At 42.2% G+C, this 17,881-nt stretch overlaps 1 protein-coding gene across 3 annotated transcripts, besides 1 other annotated feature; it reads right to left on the bottom strand.

Moving 5' to 3' along the window:
• MRPL35 (mitochondrial ribosomal protein L35) lies at window positions 44-14,405 on the bottom strand. Of its 3 annotated transcripts, none has more exons than NM_001363782.1 (5): window positions 14,305-14,405; window positions 7,543-7,732; window positions 6,511-6,655; window positions 3,225-3,358; window positions 44-210 (listed from the first exon to the last, which is right to left on the bottom strand). In NM_001363782.1, the coding sequence occupies exons 1-5, from the start codon at window positions 14,345-14,347 to the stop codon at window positions 189-191; spliced, it is 534 nt and encodes a 177-aa protein (NP_001350711.1). In that variant the 5' UTR covers window positions 14,348-14,405; the 3' UTR covers window positions 44-188. The 3 variants fall into 3 exon arrangements, with proteins under 3 accessions (NP_001350711.1, NP_057706.2, NP_663619.1); NM_145644.3 differs by lacking the exon at window positions 44-210 and adding an exon at window positions 484-1,412 and having other exon boundaries at window positions 14,305-14,381; NM_016622.4 differs by having other exon boundaries at window positions 48-3,358; window positions 14,305-14,381.
• Window positions 14,293-14,562: an enhancer, noted in NCBI's record as "active region_16158". NCBI's record gives its function as "activates an Ori minimal core promoter by ATAC-STARR-seq in GM12878 lymphoblastoid cells {active_cell/tissue: GM12878}" and the evidence as "EXISTENCE:reporter gene assay evidence [ECO:0000049][PMID:35858748]".

Here is a 17,881-nt window from a genome sequence, read left to right as displayed (position 1 = left end):
GATGATATAAATGTTTTGAAAACCAGTTCATCACACAACTACAAACCTGAAAGTATCACTGTTTATTTCACATTTAAAAAAATCATCGGCAGAAACTAGGTAGCTGTGAAAATAGAATAGTCCACTGGTAGAGTTTCAATTGTGCAAACAGACGTTTGGTCCATCATTTTTCTTCTCTGAACATTTCTTCATCTGCAAATGGGGGAGTGCCTGTGCAGGTGACAACAGGGTGGTGAAGGGCCACCCTTAAACCTGCTGCAGCCCTTACCTTTCACATCTGAACAGGCAGACTCAAACTTCATTGGGTGGCCACAAAGACTTGGAAGCTCAAAATTTGAAACATCAAAATTAAACACAGACCCAATTTCTTTGCATTTTTAGTCCTGTATTCTATGTTTGACAAAATCACTGTAAAATAAAGCAGCAGTAAGAAAAGAAGCAGATTCAGAGGACTAAAAGCAGGAACAGATGGGAAAAAAAGGCTGGAAATCCATTCGTTTATTTACTGAGCCTGGTCCAATGTCAACAGAACTAGGATTAACTAGGTTAAGAGTTGGCAAAGGACAGGAAAGCAAAGTAATAAAATTTAAAAGCTGAATTGGTACAGTGTTATGAAGAAGTGTTTATTTAGTATTTATAGTACCAGATTACAGTCACTTGTTGATTTAGATATGAATTTTCATATGTTAGAAGACTCAGGGAAATACACAGGATCCCAAGGAGTGAGACTGAGATTCTGGGTCTTATTAGCTGTACTTTGGGTAATTTACTTAACCCTCTCTCAGCTTCAGTTTCCTCAAATCTAAATTAGGGCTTAACTAATCATTATGTCCTTTGTAAGACTGGAAATGTGGATTAGCAGTTAGACAGTATGTATGTACCCAGTTTTGTAGATATGCTGGGACATAGTAGGTGTTCAATAAATTATACATATACCTGAATAAACAAACTATACATAAATATTTTATAAATTATACATATAATCGAACATCATTTAGGTAAACTCTTTAATGAAAGACATTTATTGTCAGATTATAAAATCAGTGTTGATGATAAGCCCTCCTACCCACAAAACAAAAATCGTATGTATGAAATTCCCTTTCCCGTAAGTTATGTGCCTGTCAGCCATCCCACTTCAGTCCATCTTTGGATGCTGAGGCTCTGGTTGCCAGTCCTTATCTCTACACCTGTCCCTGGTCTAGAGGAGAAACGAAGGTGCTCTGAGGCCCCTGTAACAGAGACCCTTGTCATCCATATTTGCAATAAAGACATCATGGAGGCTGTGCAAAAGTATCCTTCTCCCCAACTTCTGCAGGCACCATTTCCATCTCACTACCCAGAGGTACATCAGAGAGCAGGAGCCAGGCAGGTGACAAAGATGTGGAAGGCTTCTAAGTGGTTGGCTTTGCCGTCTCAGAAGTGCGAAGAAATGAAAATCCATCAAAACAGAATGCCATTCCATGTTTCAGGCTTTTACCTCACCTCAAATCAAATGTCTGTTCTTTATTTATTGGTCCCATAAGTAGACACGCACTTGGACTTCTGGTTTTAGAACATTCTATTGTTATCCTTTCTCCTTTTAATAAACACACACTAGTTTCGAGGAATCTCCCTAATAATCCTGGCCTGACATGCTGCAGAACTTCAATTTCATAATTTTACTAACAACAGAGGAATTTCATCTTATTATTACCAACTACCACATTAAAGGATCTGAAACAGTAATTCATGCATAATTCTATTTAATAATGGTTTTCAAAGTACTTTGCTGTTTGAAAATGCTTCCCAGATGATTCTGATCGGAGAGTTGGGAACCACTGCCCTAGACTGTAACCACTCAATTGAACTTTACTCAGTGCTGCTTCCCTGCCCACTTCAAGTAAACAATGCTTAACTTTTTCGTTTCTAAAACAACTGAGATTACTTTCTCCCCCTTAGTTTCTACAATGATTGTTGAAAATTTGTGGGAAAAGTTTATCCTTACAAATGAAAACATGAAATCTGAAGTGGATAAACTAACTTTTAAGAAATACATATCCTTACTCAGTAAGCTGAGGCAGGAGGACCACTTGAGCCCAGGAGTGCGAGGCTTCAATGAGCTATGATTGCACCACTGCACTCCAGCCTGGGCAACAGAGCAAAACTCCTGTCTCTAGAAAAAATAAATACCTATCTTTCAAAACTTGCATAAAAAGCCCTTGTCTTCACTTGTACAGCCTCTTCTGTTTCATGAATGAGCATGCTGAAGGGCTATTTACTCTCCTATGAAAAAATGTTGTTACAGTAAATGACAAGTGTTATGAACACAATGAACCTGGTGTGTTAGATGTTAAGTGTGCTGCCACCCCATGTGAACCTCCAAGTGAAACTGCTCACATAACTGTTTTTTTGCTGCATGCAAACCTGCTAATACAAAGCGGGCTCCTGACTTAAGGACAGCCAATCCCTACTCTAGACAATGACCCAACCAGACCTAGTATAAAAAGGTAGTCTGGCCCAGTTAAATTCCCTTGGCAATTGGAGACTAGCAGCAGGAGCTGAAGGTCATCATGTAGAAAAGAACCTCAAAGGTGCAAGTTAAAGTTATTACAAAGGAACAGAAACTGTAAGTATGCAAAAGCTGTGTAGAGAAGTTGGTGAATAGAGAGAATGGAGTTAACAATGCAAAAAGAAGCAAGTCACATGCATGCAGAGCCCAAGCCTAAACATCCACCTTCCCCTGCTGAGGAGCACCACCCAATTTCTACTCTTCCTGAGGCTGGGAGGTGATTTCTGAGTGGGAGATGGGGTTGGTGAGGTGGTTCCTGAATTCCCTGGCACATATCCTTGAAATAATGTCACATTGCTTGAGCTAACTTGTAGCTTTTGAGTCTTTTTATGTTTGTCCCACTTGAGATTCCTTGCAACTAAAAGAGCATAACTGAAACAACTAGTTAAGCCAATACCATTTGTTAAAAATAATGCACCATTCTAAATTTCTGTTTCCCTAACCAAATCTGGCAAAGTCTGATCCATTAAGTTTTAAAACTTTTCTAAGTTTAATGTTGTCACTGTATGTTTACGTATTCATTGGTACAATTTACATCAAGTTTTGTACTTATCCATTTTTGCAAAGATATGTACACAAAGATACATATCCAATAACTGAGAAACAAGTGAAACTTCTGATCTATACTTTCAGGTTTGTTCGATCATGATACTTCTGATAAGGATCATCAACGTACCAGTTTCGCCTCTTCCAGAAGGACGTCGTCATTTTATCTAAGAGTTTACTCTGGGTTTTATTGCAGAATACAAATTCCCTCAATCGCTTCTTCCTTGCAGGTGTCTTTTTCCATAATTTTTTCTTATAGCCAGCCTGTCAGATATTACAAAGAAATGTAAAACATCATACTATGTATGAAACAACAGGTATCTTCACAACTCAAGGTTTATAGACCCAATAAGAACAAAAACCAGACTTCCATAGGGGCTGGACTATTTCTTGGAAAGATGTGATTCTCAATGGCCGGGGGAAGGGAGGGTGGCGGGGAGGGGGATGGAGAAAGCATGTGTAGTTTAAAAAAGAATTAGTAATAAATCATATTTTAGAAAAAAATTATTTAAATTAAACTCACAGAAAATAAAACTAAATGTGTGTGGCTGGGAAAGTACAAGATAATGACAGAATTATAATCACTAACTTAACAGGTATGATCTTACTATCTCTTCAGCAATCTTTAACAACATACTATTATTCTATTTTACATCTTTAAAAAAAGAAACCATTGATTAGAGAAGTAGCAGACAGAGGTCTGAGGGCTAATAAGAGTTCTTTTTTTGTTTCATTTTGAGACAGGGTCTCACTCTGTCACCCAGGCTGGAGTGCAGTGGCATGATCACGGTCACTGCAGCCTCTACCTCCTGGGCTCAAGTGATCCTCCTGCCTCAGCCTCTCGTATAGCTGGGACCACAAGTGTGCACCACCATACCCAGCTACTTTTTAAATTTTTGTAGAGATAAGGTCTCACCATCTTGCCCAGGCTAATAAGAGTTCTTAACCACTGTCTTTCCTAATGTAGAGGAGGATGGAGTGCAGGCGAGGTAACAACATTAATATTTATTAAGGAGGCTGAGTATTACAAGAGCTGAGAAGCACAGTTCTCAAATATATTGCTTCATTTATTATTTTCACACACAAGGGACCAATTTTTATAGGAAGTACTTTTCTAAGGAATTATGAATATGGTAAGACTATTATTAGGAGTGGTGAAGGAATGGTTAACCCACATATTTAACCCAGAACTTTCATATACACCCATACAGGTATTATTCATTTTGAAGAATTTATTTTTAAAGACAGGAAAGGAAAATTTGATTGATTATAAAAACTATAATCATAGCCTGTTTAAACTAGAAGGGATCTTAGGTGCCATCCAGCTTAATTAACATCTGGCTAAAACCACACGGTGAGCCCTTGGGTCCTTTCAAGCCAAGGGCTCTTTATGGCACAATACCAACTGAACAAAACCATGGCTCTTTGCCGAGAATGTGCCTTGCATTTCTGACATGTCTTAGTATCATCACTGTGACCATCAACTTCTATAAGGACAGTGATGAAATAAGGAAAGGTTATTTAAGAGTTCTGGTTTTAGAATGCTAGAGGTTAGATTTTTGCTACTCACTGCTTACAATTTTAAATGCAAACATTTAAAGCCAAATCTCCACATTTGTGTAATAATTTCATAGTTTGCAGGCCAAACTGGGTTACTATGGATCTCTGACGTACAAACACCTAATTTATTGCCCTGCTCATTACCACCAGTATCCTTTAAAGATTATTCACAGAATGGAACCACTATGAAAATGCTTGAAATTTTTTAGACAATCTCTAGATTCAAAAATGGAAGGAGGGAATGAACAATAAATACCAAGGACTGCTGGATGAAACCGTGTCATGGAAAATACTTTGTTTTACACATTAGTTTGAATTCATCTACCCAGATTTTTTTTTTCTCTGAAAATTAGATTTTGAAGAGGCAGGGCATTCTATACAGGGTATACTTTCGGGAGCCCTGAACTGAAGCTAGGTATTATGACTGGAGAGTATGATCGGGTCCTTTACAGTAACATGAGGGCCCCAGAGCCCAGTAAGAGGGACATGGAAAGGAAGGCAAGGAAACCCACCCATTTCATTTTACCTAGGGCTAGAAGAGGACCTGGAAATAACTGGTATAAAAACCAAAGGGTGGGGCTAGGCGTCACGGCCCATGCCTGTAATCCCAGCACTTTGGGAGGCCGAGACAGGTGGATCACTTAAGGTCAGGAGTTCAAGACCAGCCTGGCCAACATGGTGAAAACCCGTCTCTACTAAAAATACAAAAATTAGCCTGGCATGGTGGTGCATGCCTGTAATCCCAGCTACTCGGAAGGCTGAGGCAGGAGAATGGCCTGAACCCGTGAGGCAGAGGTCACAGTGAGCCAAGATTGTGCCACTGCACTCTAGCCTGGGCGATAGAGTGACACTTTGTCTCAAAAAAAGAAAAAAAAAAAAACACATACACACAAAAGGGAAGAAATGTTTCCAGTGGTCTCAAATTCACAAAACTCAGAACATTAGACCTTTAGTTTAGCTGCTTTATGGATTATATGAGCTTCTGCTGACTGGTGTAGGAAACTACCCACCACAGTGTTTCAATAGAGAAATGAGCTGAGAGTTCCAACCAACCCATTTATCTACTAATTTAGTACTGTTTATAAAACGGGAGAATCCTTTCAACCTTTCAAACATCAAGAAAGTTCTACCAACTATTTTATTTTTACAGGGAACCAAATTTTGATTTTTAAAGATTTAATTTCCAAGTAATGAAAGGGAATTAGGATTTGGGCAGTTACTAAATCTCAAAAATGGTTTTGCAAAACTGGTCTTAAGCTGCTTTCTTTTCATTTTTTGAGATGAAGTCTTGCTGTGTCACCTAGGCTGGAGTGCAGTGGCGTGATCTTGGCTCACTGCAGCCTCTGCCTTCCAGGTTCAAGCGACTCTCCTGCCTCAGCTTCCCAAGCAGCTGGGATTATAGGCACCTGCCACAACGCCTGACCTCAAGTGTTCTGCCCGCCTTGGCCTCCCAAAGTGCTGGGATTACAGGCATGAGCTACAGTGCCTGGCTGAATTCTGAATTCTGTTTGATTTTAATCTGCTCACACTCCTTTTTTCTTTTCTTTTTTGAGACGGAGTCTCGCTCTGTCGCCCAGGCTGGAGTGCAGTGGTTCGATCTTGGCTCACTACAACCTCCACCTCCCGGGTTCAAGCAATTATGTGCCTCAGCCTCCCGAGTAGCTGGAATTACAGGTGCCTGCCACCACGCCTAATTTTTGTATTTTTAGTAGAGATGGAGTTTCACCATGTTGGCCAAGCTGGTCTTGAACTCCTGACCTTATGATCCACCCGCCAAAGTGCTGGGATTATAGGCGTGAGCCACCACGCCCGGCCTCACATTCCTTTTTCAATTTAGTAACAGTGTGAAGACTCACCTTTCTCCTCACCCAAAGGCCACAATGAAGTCGAAGAAACCTATCGATGACAGCTTTCACGGTCTTTCTCTTGCCTTTTCTTGCACTGAAGTATGTTAGAGATCTGACTGGCAGCTTCAGGACACTTGGAAGCACGGGGGCCATTCTAAAAATATATTTTAAAATTTTTAGCTTGTAATCAGACTGATTAAAGGATTAAAATTCATTATCTATACTGAGAAATGAGTAAAGCTGCTCCAATGGACTGGAACTAACTTTTCATATACAATATTACTTCCAATGACCCATGACATTAAGCATAAATTAGAATAGCAACCATCACCAACTCGCAATCTTCTAAAACCTACCCCCTCAATCCCTGTAAAATAATTCATTCTATTATCATCGCTTTATTTCTTATCCATCTTCCCACCAGATTGCAAACTCCTTGAGGACTTCAATTTGTTTACCCTTATGTCCTTTTTGCCAAGTACAGTGCTAGGCACCCAGGGGTATTTAACTGAGTATTTGCTGACTGAATGACCAACACATGCAGCCCATCCTTATAAGCTGAGCGTCTTGTGCACCCTCCACTTTGGATGACAGCCTCCATGCAGGAAAGCACACATACAACATCAGAAGCATGCTGTGTTTGGCATTTTCCTGCTGCAGGCGCCTAGATACATGGATGTCAGTCACAGTCTCCCACTCAATCAAGCAGATGTCTACATAATTAACTGCAGGTAGGCAAAGAATACCACCTACTTCTAGGATACCCCTGCAGGCATGAATATCTTGGAAAGTTTGTCTAAGCATCATGTTTATTGAAATAGACTCTACCAGCCAGGCACAGTGGCTCACGCCTGTAATCCCAGAACTTTCCAGCTACTTAGGAGGCTGAGGCAGGAGAATTGCTTGAACCCCGGAGGTGGAGGTTGCAGTGAGCTGAGAATGCACCACTGCACTCTGGCCTGGGCAACAGAGTGAGACTCCGTCTCAAAAAAAAACAAAAAACAAAAAACAAAAAAAACCCCACAAAGAAATATACTCTACCTATTAAGGATCACTGAGGTATGCCCACATGTCAGGTTTCTCTCAGATGTGGTAAGTCTGGGAGTGGAGGAAACAACTGGTGTCTGAATATGACTAAAACGTCCAGTGGACAATGCAGAAATAAGAGAGGCATTCTTGACACAGTTGCGGTAGGTTGAAGATGCCAAAATATTCAGGGGCCGTAGGATTCCTGTAAAGATAGGAGCATATATATTTAATACTCCAAAATATGCATCCAGATATTAAAAATTAAGAGATGTATCACTGCCACCAAGTATTAAACATAATTAACGTGCCCTGAGCATCAGACTCATCTGTGAAGCTTTTACCACCTTACTAAGGTATAACCATAAATTAATTACTGATTTTATGTATATAATTCAACAATTTTTGGAAAATTTAGAGAGCTGTGCAACCATCATCACAACCAAGTCGGATGTCTGCTAGCTCTATGTCCAGTACTAAGAAAAGAGATGTGTGTAACATTTATTCCCACCTCCCAGATCTTATACTCTGGTGAGACAGAATTCCCACACACAGTACAATGGCAGGTCAGGGATGCAAGAGCATGGACCCTTCCTGGAGAGACAAGAGTGGCGACAGAAAGATTCTCGAAGAAAAGAGAAGAGGCACTTGAGTTCTCTAGAAAGTGAGCAGGCCCTTAGAAGAGGAGGAGCACATTTCAGGTAGGACGAACAACATAAGCAAAGGCATGGGGACTGAAACAAATACAGGTGACCCTTGAACAACATGGGTTTGAACTGCACAGTGCCACTTACACACAGATTTTTTTCAAAAAAAGTTACACCGAGTATGCCTGCCTTTCCAGCCTCCCCTTCTAACTCCTCCACCTCTTCTTTCTCTGCAATCGCAGAGAGAGCAAAACCAACTCCTCCTCAGCCTACTCAATGTAAAGATGATGAAGACCTTTATGATGATCCACTTCCACTTAATGAACAGTAACCTATTTCTTTTCTTATGACTTTCTTTTCTCTAGCTTGTTTTATTGTTAAGAATACAGTATATAATACATATAACATGCAGGATATATGTTTTTAAAATTCTTTTTTTGAGGCAGGGTCTTACTCTGTGGCCCAGGCTGGAATGCAGTGGCACAATCATAGCTCACTGCAGCCTTGACCTCCTGGGCTCAATCTATCTTCCCACCTCAGCCTCCTAAGTAGCTGGGACTACAGCATGTGCCACCATGCCTAATTTTTGTAGAGACAGAATTTTGCCATGTTGCCCAGCCCAATCTTGAACTCCTGGGCTCAAGTGATCCACCTGCCTCAGCCTCCCAAAGTGTTAGGATTACAGGTGTGAGCCACCGTGCCCGGCCTCAGAATATATGTTAATCAATGGTTTATGTTATTGGTAAGGCTTCTGGCCAACAGTAGGCTATTAGTAATTAAGTTTTGGAGGAGCCAAAAGTTATACTTTTTTTCAACTTGATTTTCAACTGCTTGGGGTTGACACCCCACCTGCTGTATTGTTCCAGGGTCAACTGTACATGTATGGGTTGAGGACCAGACCTGCCTCAGAGGCTGAGACTGTTCGCCTGACTATCAGAGACGCCTGGGGAGAAGTAGTGGGCAGTGGGGTGGAACAGGTCAGAAGGCAGATTTCAGAGAGCCTAGATGTGTGGTCCGGATGCAGTCCTCTTATCAGTCCTTCCCACTATGGCCAGACTAATAGTTCATGGCTGCAAATCGGAATCACTCGTGGAGCTCCGACTCCACCCATAAATTCTGACTGAAGTCCAGTTTGGGACTCAAAATTGTGTGTTAAAAAAGTTCCGCAGGATGATGAAAATGTCCTCAGAACTTAAAGTATAAAAAAAAAAATGCACTAATACAAGACTAAAAAAAAAAAAAAAAGTCCTAAAGCTGGAATGTGGTAATGGTTGTACAGCTTGCTAAATTAATAAAAAAACATAAAGCTGTACACATAAAATGGGTAATTTTATGGCATGTAAATTCTACCTCAATAAAGTTGGTTAAGAAAAATACTCCAGCCAGGCATGGTGGCTCATGCCTGTAATCCTAGCACTTTGGGAGGCCGAGGCAGGCGGATCACCTGAGATCAGGAGTTCGAGACCAGCCTGACCAACATGGAGAAACCCCGTCTCTACTGAAAATACAAAATTAGCCGGGTGTGGTGGTGTGCGCCTATAATCCCAGCTACTCAGGAGGCTGAGGCAGGAAGATCACTTGAACCTGGGAGGAAGAGGGTGCAGTGAGCCGAGACTGCAACATTGCACTCCAGCCTCGGCAACAAAAGTGAAACTCCATCTCAAAAAAAAAAAGCGAAAAATACTCCACCTGAGTCTGATGCTTGGCTGGGACTTAGAACTACTCTCCTATTTTCTACTGCACTGATTTCAGATAACAAATGAGGGGCCATGTTGATATAGAAGTGCTAGGATTTGAATGAGATGATTTGGGCTCATATTCTAGCTCTATGACTTCCTTGCTGTGTAACCAGGGGCAAGTTACTTAACCTCTCTGTGCCCCAGTTTCCTCAAATTTAAATGAAGTTAATTATGGAGAGGTAATGAGACTTGAATGAGATGAAGCATGTATAGTGCTTGGAAGGGTAGCACAGAGAAAACATTTAATGAATGCTAATGGCAGATAATAAAGAAGAGGGATACTTAGCAAAGATGATACAGGTTGAGTATTATCTGAAATGCTTGTGACCAGAAGTATTTTAGATTTTTTAAAATTTTGCATAAAGGAGATATCTTGGAGATGGGACTCAAGTCCAAACATGAAATTCATTTGTTTCATATAAATCTTACACATATAGCTTAAAGTTAATTTTATACAATATTTTAAATAATTTTGTACATGAAACAAAGTTTTGACTGCCACCGATCACGTGAGATCGGGTAAAGAATTTTCCATTTGTGGGCCGGGTGCGGTGGCTCACGCCTGTAATCCCAGCACTTTGGGAGGCCGAGGCAGGCAGATCACGAGGAGATCAGGAGGTCAAGACCATCTTGGCTAACACAGTGAAACCCCGTCTCTACTAAAAATACAAAAAAAAATTAGCTGGGCATGGTGGCAGGTGCCTGTAGTCCCAGCTACTTGGGAGGCTGAAGCAGGAGAATGGCGTGAACCTGGGAGGCAGAGCTTGCAGTGAGCTGAGATTGTGCCACTGCACTCCACCTTGAGCGACAGAGCGGGACTCCGTCTCAAAAAAAAAAAAAAAAAGAATTTCCCACTTGTGGTGTCATGTTGGTACTCAAAAAGTTTCAGATTAAAGATACCTAACCTGTATATTAATATGTGGCCATCAGTGATAACAGGGCCAGGTGTGGTAGCTCACCCCTGTAACCCCAACACTTTGGGAGGCCCCGGCGGATCACCTGAGGTCAGGAGTTTGCGACCAGCTTGGCCAACATGTGAAACCCCGTCTCTACTAAAAATAGAAATATTAGCTGGGCAGAGTGACGCGCGCCTGTAGTCCCAGCTACTCGGAGGCTGAGGTAGGAGAACTGCTTGAACTCAGGAGGCAGAGGTTGCAGTGAGCCGAGATCTTGCCACTGCACTCCAGGAGACAGAAGGAGACTCTGTCTCCACAAAAGAAAAAGAGATAACAATTTGCAACTGAAAAGGGTAGCATAAACATTGGTGCAGAAAACTGATGAGAGAGCCCTTACATAGGGCCTTGGAAATCAAATAAGTTAAATCGCAAAGAACTGAAAAGATGTGCAGATGTAATAAGGCAGGAGGTAATCTTTGGAAGATTAAGTGCATTGGAGGACTGTAGACAAGAAAATGTTCCAATTTTCACACGTCATCAGATTTTGGTATCTCTTGGTTAAAAAATTAAAACCTATGAAATTCTTTTGTTCTCAATTTTTATGAAGATCCTGAGGCTGCATAAGACATATTTATCAATTTTCCCAAAAAGCAAGCTGGGAACAATGGCTTGTTAATGTATTTGTGAAGACACAGAGTATCAGAACTCCAAGTGATCTTAGTAAGAGAGAAAAACAGATCAAAACCAACAAGATGAAATCAGGAATAAATACACTGAAGTTAGAAAAAATGGTTACGGGAACAACAGGAACTGGGATCTTGGTTGAGAGCAGTTCATGGGAAAATATGTGGGGAGGCTCTATCTACTGCGCCTTCTGGTGGATCAATCATGTGATTAAGCCTGTGAGGGAAACCTAACAGTCTAGCTTTGTTAACAAAAGTGCAGTACATCAAGGAAAGTAACTAATTTCCTTCAGTCCTCTGCCCCGTCTGGGCATTTTCATACAGACTAGTCTACTCTAAACACACTGTTGTATAGAGAATACAGATGTTTTCACAAAAGAGGTAACGCAAAACCAGAGTTTTGACAGAGTACGAAGAGACAGAGGGAATAGGACGTACAAAGGTGACGATGTACATTTGGGGAATTACAATGGCCCTATGTGGCATGAATCAAAGGAATGAATGGGGGACATGAACTGCACTGGATGGGAGTGGAGGAGACTGTGACAGTATCGAAACCAGGAGTCTTCAAGATTTCTGATCCTATGTTTCCTAAAAGAATTTTGAAAAACTACCCTTTCACAAATTCTTAATATCTAAAATATCAAATAGTTTAAATTGTTAAAAAGGCTATAATTTCCAGCATATTTAAAATACTGACATTTTAAAATAAGCTGTCACATCACTCTTTAAATTGTTTTCAGTAGAATCTAAATTAATAGTAAGTTGATAACTACCTACATCATCTATTTAAAAATTACAAGAACTATAAATTCAAGTAGATGAAAAACAACTTTTCGTCAAAGGGCACTCCAAAATAATGTAAAAAAGACAAGCCTGAGTGGGAGAAGCTAAAGGACACACACAAATGAAAAACAAAAACAAAACAAAAAATACTCTAAATAAATAAGACAAACAATCCAATAGGAAAATGGGCAAAATATTTAAGTGGATATTTCATAAAGGAAATTCAAAAGGCCAATAAAAATGTGAAACACACTATAGCTTGTTATTAATCAGAGAAATGCTTATTTAAATCTCAATGAGATACCATTACAAAGCCACCAGATTAACAAAAATTTGTAGGTCTGACAATATCTATTGACAATATCAATATCAGGTGTTGGTGAGGATGTGGGGCCTCAACAGTTTGGCAATATCAGGCAATGCTGAATATATACATATTCTCTGACCAGGCAATTCCACAGCGATTTTCACACATACCCACATCCTCAGAAACAATTGGACTCATGCGCCAGGATGAGATCAATCAGCTTTGTACATAATTGCCCCAAACTGGAAATGGAGAATTGTGGCACAGTCATATAATATTATACAGCAGGCCGGGCAGGGTGGCTCACACCCGTAATCCCAGCACTTTGGGAGGTCGAGGCGGGCGGATCACCTGAGGTCAGGAGTTCCAGACTAGCCTGACCAACATGGAGAAACCCCAACTCTACTAAAAATACAAAATTAGCTGGGCGTGGTGGCGCATGCCTGTAATCCCAGCTACTCCAAGGGAATCACTTAAACCTGGGAGGAGGAGGTTGCAGTGAGCCCAGATCGTGCCATTGCACTCCAGCCTGGGCAACAAGAGAGAAACTCCGTCTCAAAAAAAAAAAAAGAATTATATAGCAATGAGAAAGCATTACAGCTACGCAAAATGAATGAATGAATCTCACAATGTAAAAGAAGATACTAAAGCGTATATACTGTATGAACCAATTCATGTGAAGTTCAAAACCAGGCAAAACTATGTTCTTGAGATGCACATATGGATGCTAAAACTACTATAGGAAAAATAGGCAACCTAATAGTAACTATAAAAATGAGAACAGTGTTTATATCTGGGGGGGAAGTAGAGAATTTTGATACATAGGGGAGAGGAGGCTTCTGGTAGTGCACTGTTTTGACCTGAGTGTTAAACAGGTGTTTGCTTTAGAACTGTTAAATCATTCATGCATACTATATAAAATTTTCTTCATATGTATTATATTTCGCGAACACAAAAAATACTCCACATAAAAAAAGCTTTTCTCTAACGGTAAAATTTACATCGCTGCATTTTCTTGACTGATCTCGTATATTCTCCCACAAAATGTTATCCTAACAATATATTTTGTGTGAAAGTAACTTACTGAGCATCCTATGGTATTTGGATGATTTTTAACTTTTTGCAAAAAGTACTTAACGTCACGGCAACTTAATTTAGTCGCCTTTACTTCTGCTATCTCTCAGTCAAGAAGTCCTCATACCAGCCCTTGTGCCGGGGGCTGTAGTTAAAAATTAAATTAGCCTTCAAGCTTACCATGTGTCAGGCACTGCCCAAAACGCTTTACGTGCATTATCTCATTTAATCCCCAGGTAGGTGGTTATGACCCCCATTTTAGAGGTGTAGAATCTTAAGTTAGGAGACATTAATTCTCAAGGTTAAAGGTCGTGAATGGCAGGTCGTAGCCTCTAAATCAGAAAGTTAGGTGAGACTTTTTGGTTTCCCTCGCCCCCTCCGTTCCAGTTTCTCTGGCTTCTTTTCTAGGGAAAAAAAGCTGGTAAGGAAGCGGCAAATGCGTGACACACAGGCCCGCGTGAGTCCGAGTCGGGGGACTTGGTACGGGCTGCCGGTCACACCGCCCCAGAGAAAATTGGGCGCAACCTTCTTAACTTAAATAATGACCCTTTTTGCTTGTTAACCTCCAGTCTAAACGCCCATTCCATCCCGCACCAGTTTCCCCTTCTGTGAAGGCATGCATGGAGTATGTCGCTCTCCACTGACCTGAAGCTGCTCTCACTGCACCAGCAAAGGCAGAGGCAGCCATCTTCACCTTCGCCTACGGCGGCCGCTTTGGGTTTAAAAGCACAAGAGCAAAAGAGAATGAAGGGAAAGCAAGGAGGCGGAGTCAAGGAAGAGGAAAAGAACAAAGTTGTCCACTCAACATTTATTCAATGTCATCTGCCGGGTTCCGTTCTTCGCCGCTGTAAAACGACTGCCTATAGAAGGTTCTACAAAATTTCTTATTAAAAAAAATTCTTGGGGCCGGGCACGGTGGCTCACGCCTGTAATCCCAGCACTTTGGGAGGCCGCGGCGGGCGGATCACAAGGTCAGGAGTTCGAGACCAGCCTGGCCAACATGATGAAACCCCCGTCTGTACTAAAAATACAAAAAGTAGCCGGGCTTGGGAGGCTGAGGCAGGAGAATCGCTTGAAACCGGAAGGCGGAGGTTGCAGTGAGCAGAGATCGTGCCACTGAACTCCAGTCTGGGCGAAAGAGCGAAACTCCATCTCAAAAAAAAAAAAAAAATTCTTGCCGGGCGCGGTGGCTCACGCCTGTAATCCCAGCACTTTGGGCGGCCGAGGCGGGCAGATCACGAGGTCAGGAGATTGAGACCATCCTGGCTAACAGGGTGAAACCCCGTCTCTACTAAGGGGTACAAAAAATTAGCCGGGCGTGGTGGCGCGCGCCTGTAGTTCCAGCTATTCGGGAGGCTGAGGCAGGAGAATCGCTTGAACTTGGGAGGCGGTTGTTGCAGCAAGCCAAGATTGAGCCACCGCACTCCAGCCTGGGGTACAGAGCAAGATATAGGGTGTATTACCTTGGAACACTATTGTTGCCAACTTGATCTCCCACCTATGGTGGCCACTTTGAGTCCAAAAACAGGCACATACGCTAGACAAGTATATTGAAACATTCATAAAAGCTCTTTGAATTGGCAACGGGAGTCATTGCGCACTTTTTTTTTTTTTTGAGACTAGGTCTTGGTCTGTTGCGAAGGCTTGAGTGCAGTGGTGCGATCACAGCTCACTGCAGCCTCGACCTCCTAGGCTCAAGCAATCCTCCCACCTAAGCCTCCTGAGTAGCTGAGACTACAGGCACACACCTGGCTAATTTTTAAATTTTTTGTAGAGACCTAGGTCTCACTATGTTGCCCAGGGTGGTCTCAATTATTTGGTATGGAATCAAACAGGTCTCCCACCTTGGCCTCCCAAAGTGCTGGGATTACAGGTGTGAGCCACTGAGCCTGGCCTCACTGCACATTTTTGAACAAGTGAGTGACTTGATTTAAATTTTGTTTTTTAGAGACAGGGTCTGAGTGCAGTGGTGCAATCACTGCAGCCTGGAATTCCTGAGCTCAAGGGATCCTCCCACCACAGCCTTCCAAGTAGCTGGCACCACAGGCATGCACAATCATCCCCTGCTAATTTAAAAAAATTGTTTATAGAGATGAGGTTTCACTTTTTTTTTTTTTTTTTTTTTTTTTTTTTTTTTTGGAGACAGACTCTCGCTCTGTTGCCCAGGCTGGAGTGCAGTGGTGCGATCTTGGCTCTCTGCAAGCTCCGCCTCCCGGGTTCACACCATTCTCCGCCTCAGCCTCCCAAGTAGCTGGGACTACAGGTGCCTGCCACCACACCCAGCTAATTTTTTGTATTATTATTATTTTTTTTAGTAGAGACGGGGTTTCACCGTGTTAGCCAGGATGGTCTCGATCTCCCGACCTCATGATCCGCCCGCCTCGGCCTCCCAAAGTGCTGGGAGAGGTCTCACTCTTTTGCTCAGGCAGGTCTCAAACTCCTGGGCTCAAGTGATCCTCCCACCTCAGTCTGCCAAAATGCCGGGATATGAGCCACCACACCCAGCCCCTGGTAACAAATTTTTTTTTTTTGAGACGGAGTTTCGCTTTGTCCCCCAGGCTGGAGTGCAGTGGTGTGATCTTGGCTCACTGCAACCTCTGCTTCCCAGGTTCAAGTGATTCTCCTTCTTCAGCTTCCCACATAGCTGGGATTACAGGCGCGCACCACCAAGCCTAGCTAATTTTTGTATTTTTAGTAGAGACGGGGTTTCACCATGTTGGCCAGGCTGGTCTCGAATTCCTGACCTCAGGTGATCCGCCCGCGTCAGCCTCCCAAAGTGCTGGGATTACAGGTGTGAGCCACAGCGCCTGGCCTGCCTGATAACATTTTAAAGCAAAAATATTGACAACTTCCAAGTGGAGAGTGAGGACTCTCCACGTAGGTTATGAGGGGTTGGGAGGCTAATTTTGAGGTTTGAGATCTTGAAGCTAGAGAGGTTGCTAATGATGTTCAGGCGCAAGTTGTGGCTGTGACGTACATGACTGAAGCAGGATGAAAACATTCACTGGCATTGACAAATTCAAAGCCAAGGGTGTTAGAAAAGTCATCACACGGGCACCACATGACTGAAGCAGGATGAAAGCGTTCACTGGCATTAAGAAGTTCAAAGACAAGGGTGTTAGAAAAGTCATCACACCGGCACCACTGGGCATGACAGCAGTGGGCAGGGAGGCAGCAATTCAATTGCTAAAATTACTAAAGAAAACGGGAGACTGCTCTGGAAGCTAAGTGAAAGAGATATGAAACATATGTAATTACTGTAGTCCCCTAAAAACCATAGAACATAGAACATATACAAACATAACTATTGCTTTCAGATAATTTTCAAGTCCATCTCTCCATGCTACAAGTCATAGCGCAGTCTACCTCTAGAGAGAATACATATTGTAATAAATTACCCAGTTAAGACTTGGAATACTTTGCAAATCCAATAGAAGATAGAAAAGTTAGTTTCCACGATATTGCAATAAGATGCTAATAGTATTAATACGAACATATTAATTCTGGAGTATACATGGAGTATTAATACCATGCTTAATATTTAACGTGTTTTATTTTGATTACAGAATCAATGGAATACTTTTGTTTTTTGAGACAGAGTTTCGCTCTTGTTGCCCAGGCTGGAGTGCAATGGCGTGATCTCGGCTCACTGCAACCTCCGCCTCCCGGGCTCAAGCAATTCTCCTGCCTCAGCCTCCCGAGTAGCTGGGATTACAGGCACCCGCCACCATGCCCAGCTAATTTTTTGTATTTTTAGTAAAGACGGGGTTTCACTATTTTGGCCAGGCTGGTCTCGAATTCCTGACCTCAGGCGATCCACCCGCCTTGGCCTCCCAAAGTGCTGGGATTACAGGCGTGAGTCATAGCTCCTGGCCCTACTTTTCTTTTTAAATTTTTTGTTTGTTTATTTTTCTATATAGAGACGAGGTCTCACTGTGTTGCCCAGCCTGGTATCGAACCTCTGGGCTCAAGCGATCCTCCCGCTTCGGCCTCCCGAAGTACTGGGATTACAAGCGTGAGCCACCGCGCCCTGCCCAGTGGAATACTTTCAACGGTGCTTCTGCATTGACTTCCCATCTTCCAACCCATCCACAAACTGCAGCCAAAATGATGTTACTACAGTAACAACTTGGAGAAAGCAGTGTGGCTTAATCTGGAAGGAGCAGAAGCTGTGGAGTCCAAAGGACCCGTGTTCCTATCCTTGTTGTGCCACTTGACACGT

The sequence above is a fragment of the Homo sapiens genome, chromosome 2 (genome assembly GCF_000001405.40).
Source record: "Homo sapiens chromosome 2, GRCh38.p14 Primary Assembly".
NCBI classification, from domain to species: Eukaryota; Metazoa; Chordata; class Mammalia; order Primates; family Hominidae; genus Homo; species Homo sapiens.
This window is presented reverse-complemented; position numbering and strand designations above follow the sequence as displayed.

Excerpts from the sequence above, each read along its gene's own strand:
- MRPL35 (NM_016622.4), bottom strand. The coding sequence starts at position 14,347 with ATGGCTGCCTCTGCCTTTGCTGGTGCAGTGAGAGCAGCTTCAG. Across the intron at positions 6,656-7,542 it reads ACCTCAGTGATCCTTAATAG|AATGGCCCCCGTGCTTCCAA; the intron begins GTAGAGTATATT and ends ATATATTTTTAG. Across the intron at positions 3,359-6,510 it reads GCCTTTGGGTGAGGAGAAAG|GCTGGCTATAAGAAAAAATT; the intron begins GTGAGTCTTCAC and ends AATATCTGACAG.